This window comes from Homo sapiens, chromosome 5, assembly GCF_000001405.40.
Source record: "Homo sapiens chromosome 5, GRCh38.p14 Primary Assembly".
In the NCBI taxonomy this organism is placed as follows: Eukaryota; Metazoa; Chordata; class Mammalia; order Primates; family Hominidae; genus Homo; species Homo sapiens.
This window is the reverse complement of record NC_000005.10, coordinates 6,031,064-6,038,847: the sequence shown is the minus strand read 5'-3', so window position 1 is coordinate 6,038,847 and position 7,784 is coordinate 6,031,064. Positions and strand designations below refer to the sequence as shown.

Genomic DNA, 7,784 nt, shown 5'->3' with positions numbered 1-7,784 from the left:
TAAAAAAAGAATTAAAGATCACTTCTAGAAATTAAAAGTATGATTTTTTAAAAAAGCAAAAAAAATGTTGAACAGCACATTTAATACATTTGAAAAGAGAAGAATTTATTGGAAGACAAATATGCAGAAATCACCCAGAATTAGACATGAAGAGATGTAGTGATAGTTATTTAAGGAAATGACTGAATACAGCTTAATGGGAGAAAGTTGAACACATTTCTGATTGGGAGAATTTGGGGCCAGAGTCAATTTTCCAAAAGTAGTGGCAAAGATTTTTTTTCAGGCCTGAAGAGAGACCGGTTGAGGATCATCCCAAGTTCTGAACAGAATAAATAAATAAAGCGTACACACACACACACACACACACACACACACACACACACACACACGTGTTGCTGTGCAATTTCTTAACACCAAACAGAGGAGAAAAGCCTTGAAGGCAAACAGAGAAAAGAGAGATTACTCATAAAGGAATGACAATTTCACTGACATCAGGGTCTTCCTCGTAACAAAAGGAGTTTTCTTCAAAGTGCTCAAGGCAGATAATTGCCAATTTAGGAATCAGAAAAGTCAAGACACAGGGAAATGATCAGGAACGCGCTCTCACTCAGTGGCTTTTGGTAACTGAAGGAAATCAGTGATGAAGAATTGAATTCAGAATAAAGGAACTGGATGCTGGAAGCAGCAGTGAGCAATAAAACTGGGTAGAGACGCTGGCTAATCCAGACAAGCATTAACTGAATAACATACCAATGCAATTCAGTGAGTTCACGTCTTCAAGTACGAAAATCATCACGCCAGACTCCTTCACACGCCCACAGTGGCCTGCAGAGGCGGCTCCTTGCCTAGCTGGCTAACATCATCCCCTGCCTGTTCCCCTTCATTTACTTGGTGCAGCCACACAGGTGTCCCAGCTATTCCACTAATGAGCCGCGGCACTTCATGCATTTGCTTACACTGTCTAAGTTTCCTCAGCTAGACTGTGGGTATCATAACAACGGCTCACAGAATGTTGAAGGGAATAAACAAAGCTTCTGAAAGTCCTTTAACCCACCCCACAGCACCGAGTGCACAGCAGTCTGCATCTGACAGTTTCCTCAAGAGTTCTAAACTACAAAGATTTTATCCGCAGAGATGCAGACAGGCACACAATGCTCACTCCATTGCTGCCTGATAGGTAGGGTCTCGGTATTACTGAACACACTAGGTAGCTTTGTCTTTTGCATGCGTGAAGGGCCCTCCAGAGACTGCCCAGTAAATAGCGGAACTATCCACCTTGCTTTAAGAAAACCTGCTGTCTGAAAGTCTAAACTGTTAAAAACATTGATCTGCACTGGATTACTCTCAGTAATAAAACATTACCTGCAAGCTTACTCTGAATACCAGCCTCTCCTAATGCATGGCATCAAAGCCATACATCCAGATATTTTCTCGTGCAAATTTTAGAGACATGTCTATTCATTAGAATGAGACCATTCTCTGAAAGTGAGTTTACAGAGGCTGATATCCCGCATTAATGCACCAGAGAGAGAAGTCATCTGCAGTGAATTTGAAAAGTTCTCACAGGAAAGCAAAACTGGCACCATCTCCTTTCTCACCAACTTTCATTCCATGGCCGGGCACGGTGGCTCATGCCTGTAATCCCAGCACTTTGGGAGGCCGAGGCAGGCAGATCACGAGGTCAGGAGATCGAGACCATCCTGGCTAACACGGTGAAACCCCGTCTCTACTAAACACACACACACACACACACACACACACACACACGCACGCACACAAAATAATTAGCCGGGGGTGGTGAAGGACGCCTGTAGTCCCAGCTACTCAGGAGGCTGAGGCAAGAGAATGGCGTGAACCCAAGAGGCGGAGCTTGCAGTGAGCAGAGTTGGCGCCACTGCCCTCCAGCCTGGGCTACAGAGCGAGACTCTGTCTCAAAAAACAAACAAACAAACAAAAATTCCTAGTAATGAATGTGGCATTTCTACCATGCAGATTATTGCACTTATGCTGTTGCCTGAGCTTGCTGCAGCACATATTTTTCCCTTAGTAACTCCTCTGTCATGACATGGAACTTACCTTGTTTGAAATAACAAATACCCACAGTAAAGCCATGTCATGCTAATTTTACTCTTTTGAGGTTTGGAAGAAAAATGGATTCAGCACAACTTTCCGAGATTTAATAGATGAGTAAACACTTTCATTTCTACAAGGAATAATTTTAGATAATGATTAACATTTATTAAAAAGGATCATTTGACATGAACTAGAAAATAAGAAAATGATATACAGTACGGGGAGATTATCAACATAGGTTGGCAGAGAGAGCGTATAGGTAGCTGTGGTTTTCTCTTCTTCTGTGTTTATATTGAATTTCTATAATTACAGAGAGGTTTAGATTCTCTTACTCTCTCTCCCTCTCTCTGACACACATGCAGGTACACACACACACACACACACACACACACAAACACAAATAGGTTACTTATTTTGAAAAAAAGAAAATGTATTCATATGATGAAACTATAACTTAACTTACAAATGCAGTGATGTCTTGGCCATTGTCTGCTAATTTAGAAGTTTTGATTATTCAACAGGATTAGGCACTCTCAGGGAAGAAAGACATTGCTAGCAAAATAACTATGCACATAAATTTGTACGCATAAGATAAGAATTTTTTTTCAGAGTCCCTCAAGCATATTTAAATTATCTATCCAGTGGCTTGTCAACAACTGATATATGCTAGTTAAAATAATAAATCAAAGCTCCTTGTTAAAACATCAGCCAATGTAGTTTACATTTCTTTAAAAACATTCAATAACTCAAACTCTTCATTAATTTCTTTAATTAGATCCCACTGACTATAATTAACTTACACACATGTAAACACACATCTACACAAAGGTGTATAAGTTACCTGAAGAATGATTTCTGAATCTCTAACTTATGATATTTCATTGGTCTGAACTTGAACCATCTGTATATTACAATTATATTATTATTTCTTTCACTGTTAATCCAAAATTCTTCTATCTCCTTGCTTTAGGCAGAATATCCCATTTCTATTGTTTGGTTACAGGATACAAGAGCTTTTTAATTTTGATTTTTTTGACACACCAAAGAAGCAAATCTCTTCTTTTTTCCATATTTCAAGGTATGTAAAGTATTGGATTTGACACAGTGATGGATTTCAGGAATACTATTTGGGAAAAATGCTAATAAAAGACAGTATTATGGAAGCAGAGGTGTCATTGGGAAGCCCATATGTGATTTCCAACTAACGCAGGTAGCTCTTTCTGTAAAAGTTTTATCGCTTAAGTAAGATGTAATCAGAAGACAAGCACATAACTTTACAAGAGCAAGTTTATTTTACACTTAATCCAGATTCTCAATTCTGGGGGAGAACAGTTGCTTGAAGTTCAGGTGAGTTGCTGAGGAATTTTTCTACAGCTTGAAATTACCATCGTACTATTCCTATTTGCTCTTTTAAGATAGCTAATTGTTACTGAGAGATTTTCAAGGTTAACGCAATCCATTGAGTCATGATTCACTCACAAGGAACAATCCAGGAACTCTGTATTTAGCAATTAGAAAATTAAGGTTTGTGTGATACTGACTAGTGATTTGAAGACTGACTACCTGTCCTCAGGTGTGTAAGACTAAAACCCATGAAAAATTTAAAAGCTAAGAGTGTGGGCAACAGACAAAAAGAAGAAGGAAGCTAGCCATGGAACTACCAAGAAGCAAATGCTATAAAAGAGAAATGCTCCACAACTAAATGGTCTGTAGGGGAAAGCAGGAGCTCTTTCTCTTGTCTACTTAATAAGAAAGGGATAGCTCACCATGAGCCCAAACAGTAGAAACCAGAGGAATGAGACTGTGGAAATGTGTGAGCCTGATGAGGTTGATACTTGTCTGCATTTCATCAATAGGACATCATAAAATGTCATTGAGAATTTTTTGGAAAAATTCTTTGTTTTTGTTTGGAAAGCATGGAGCACTCCCATTTTTTCACACTCAGTGATCGAGAGCACAACTGAAATGACTTTGAAGGTTTTTCTGAAGTCAGAAGAGGCATCAGGAAGGGGCTGGAGTGAGCTAGGGGAGCATGGCTCATGGTGTGAAACACAAATGTGGCAAGGCTGACAGGTACTCAACTTGGAGTCAGGGTTTATCTGCCTCTGTTGCCACTAGTGCTGGCTGAAAGGCTTAATTACCAGCTCTGATCAGTAGGTATTTGTTGAGCATGCCATGTCAACTATTACACTGAAATGCTGAGGAGGGTTACAGTTTAGCTGAAGTTTGGACAAATCACACAGCCTCTCAGTCTACTCGTCTGAAAAATGAAAATTAAGTTATTGGAGTCTTCAGGTAGCCGCAGTCAGAATAAAGTCTGTAAATGTGCTAAAACAATAAGATAGATAATGAAAAATTATTCTATACCAGGTACTGTGCTAAATGCCTTATTGACTTTATCTTATTTAATTCTAAAGCCATATATAAATAAGAATGACATGGGAAACTTTATCTGGATTGCTTGGCAAGGACAGAGCTAGTATTAGAAGAAGGGAAAGGTCATATGCAGAACTATGACCCTTTCTTCACCCCAGCAGGAGGTGTTATGCCCATCGTCAACTTCCTATTGAATTGGCACCTTGTCCCATGAAACAGAGAGCAAAAGGTGCACAGTTCCCCAGCTGGTGTACAGTGTCCTGGTACCTCCAGATATCCTCTGGCTCAAACATGCCCTTGTGAGATACCAAAAATATGGAGGATTCATGTACCCAATGTCTGTACCTACTAGATGTAAACCAAAAATGAAGTTCTAAGCCATCCAACTGACTGAACAGACCTCCCTCACGTGGTCAAGGGGATCCCAAAGAAAACCTGAAAAGCTAGTTCAGGCCTAGGTGGGAAGGGTGGTCCTGAGAACGTGTACCCAAGATGGTTGGGTTACAGCTTGGTTTTATACATTTTAGGGAGACAGAAGTTAAAGACAAAGATATAAATCAATACATATAAGGTATACACTGGTTTGGCCTGGAAAGATGGTACATCTCAAAATGGGGATCTCACAGGTCATAGGTAGATTCAAAGATTTTCTGATTGGAAATTAGTTGAAAGAGTTAAGTTTTGACTTAAGAATTAAAGTCAGCAGAAAGCAATGCTTGAGTTAACCTAACGGGGGTTGTGGAAGCCACGGTTCTTGTTATGTAGATGAAGCCTCTGTGTAGCAGGTTTCAGAGGTAATAGATGATAAATGTCTCTTTTGGGAACTTGGAAGGTGTCAGATTCTCTGGAGAAGACCTACTAAGGTGAGAAGATTATCTACAGAATGCAATTTCTCCTACAATAGATGGCTTTGCAGGGCCATTCCAAAATATGTCAAAGAAATATATTCCTTCAGGTCCTGTTATCCGTCATGTGATGCTATACCAAGGTTGGGTTGGAGTTGGGTATCTTATTGCTACAAAGAGTCTGTTATGTCAGTGTTACAATCTATATTTTATCTGTATTTTAATGTTAATGCTTATCAGCTGTGTCTACACTCCAAAGGGAGGCATCACAGCAGGGTTTTCCCAGGCCTCTAGCTTTCAGAGAGCCGACTATAGAACTTCACAGCCTCCAAGACTGTGTGACCCAGCCTTAAATATCTTGATTCTGTTTCTTTGGAGACTCCTAAGACAGAAATTGGTATCAAGAAATGGAGCTGCTGCTGTAACAAATGCCTAAAAATGTAGAAATGGCTTTGGAACTGAGTGATAGGTAGAGGCTGAAAGAGTTTTGAGGTACATGCTAGAAAAGGCCTACATTGCTCCAAGCAAACCATTAAAGATGATTCTGGTGTGGGCTCAGAAGGAGAAGAAGAACGCTGCAGAGAAAACCTCAGTCTTCTTAGAGAATATCAAAGTAATCCTCAGCAGAATGTTGGTAGAAATATGGCCTACTGGAAGTGAGCAGCATGCTATTGGACAATGAAAGAAAGTCCAGCTTGCTAGAAAGTGGTAAATAACTAGGCTAGATTGTGTTTCTGTCTTACTGTTTGTGAAAGGTAGAACTTGTGAGCAATAAAATTGGGCATTTGGCTGCGGAAAAGTCAAAGTAACTTATTGAAGAAGTGGCCTGATTTCTCTCAACTGCTTATAGTAAAATGCAAGCAGAGAGAAATGTCTTAACGATGAAATTGTTAATCAAAAGAGAGGAAGAACTTAAAGATTTTGAAAATTTTCAGTCTATCCATATTGCAAAGAATGAGAAAGCCTGTTCCAGGGAGAACAAAAGTATGGCCAAACAACCGTCTGATAAGGACATCAGTCAGCCATCTAACCTGAAGCCAGGACCTATTATCCAAGACAATGAAAGAATGATGCTGAAGACATGTCATAGATTACCAGGGCTGTCCCTCCCAAGGCAGGTGCAGAGTGCAGAGGCCTAGGGAAGCCCCATCTCCAACCCTCCTGTGTGTGTGTCCCTGATCTCATCTCCTCACTCTGTGGAGATCCCTGTGCTGTTTTTCCATGTCACAATTGTCTCATCATTTTTCTATCTCGTGGGCTCAGCCTCTGGAGGGGTGGGGGCTCTTCCTCCTCTGCTCATCCTACGAATTCCAGGCTCATGGGGAGTCCACTTCTGCCCTTGCCTCTTGCTGTCTCTCTATCCCCACTTGACTGTCATCTCCTCACATGGCTTACATCACCCGGGACCACATCAATAACTCCTGAGGCTGTGTCTGGAACCATCACTACTTCCTACCATGAGATCTTGATCCCAGGACCCAGCTGCCCACTGAGAATCTCCACGTAGGTGTCCCACAGTTGTGTGAAATTGCACAGCAGGCAGCTGCCCCAAGCATCTTGTGACCTCTGTCTTGGTACATCATTACTTTAGCCCATGTGCACAAGCTGGGAACCAGGAGCCATTTTTGAGTGATTGCCGTCCTCACCACCCATATGCAGTGATATCGGAGCCAACAAATCTACCTCCCATGCAACACTCACCACCCTCTACTTTTCTTCATCCACGGTGCTACTGCTTCAATTCAGGCCAACCCAACCTCTCACCACAAATCCTGCAAAGCCTCCTAGGTGGCCTCTCTGTCTCCCTCTGGCTATCCTCCACCCTTCCTAACATTGCAGCCAGCACATTCTATTGAAAACTCCAAATGGATGATTTCACTCTTCCTCAAAAAGCCCTTATATGGCTCCCCATGGCTTTCATGGTGTGACTTTCCTCTCCTCTTTCCCTGCTCAGCTCCCTTACCTGCGTTTGATCATTCCCAGGTCCCACTGAAATATTTTCCCACTCTTGTTTACCTTTAGAGGTTTGCATACTCTCATAGAGCACCTTTCCCTAGCCAGTTGTTACTGTTTATTGCCATTTTTGCATTGCTATAAAGAAATACCTGAGACTGAGTAATTTATAAAGAAAAGAGGTTTAATTGGCTCACAGTTCTGCAGGTTGTACAGGAAGCATGGTGCTTGCATGGACTCAGCTTCCAGGGAGGCCACAGGAAGCTTCCAATCATGGCAGAAAGTGAAGGGGGAGCAGGGACATCACATGGGGCAAGAAGAGGCAAGAGAGAGAAGAGGTGCCCCACATTTTTAAACAACCAGATCTTGTGGGATCTCAGTCACTATCATGAGGACAGCACCAAGGCCTAAGGGATCTGCCCTTGTGGACCAATCACATCCCACCAGGCTCCACCTCCAATACTGGGGATTACAATTCAACATGAGATTTGGGCAGGGACACATATCCAAACCATATCAGTTACCTAACTCCATCAG

At 41.5% G+C, this 7,784-nt stretch overlaps 1 annotated feature.

The window, feature by feature from the left end:
- Positions 259-760: an enhancer, noted in NCBI's record as "NANOG hESC enhancer chr5:6038201-6038702 (GRCh37/hg19 assembly coordinates)". NCBI's record gives its function as "activates a minimal SCP1, AML or CMV promoter by ChIP-STARR-seq in naive H9 embryonic stem cells {active_cell/tissue: H9 hESC(naive)}" and the evidence as "EXISTENCE:reporter gene assay evidence [ECO:0000049][PMID:30033119]".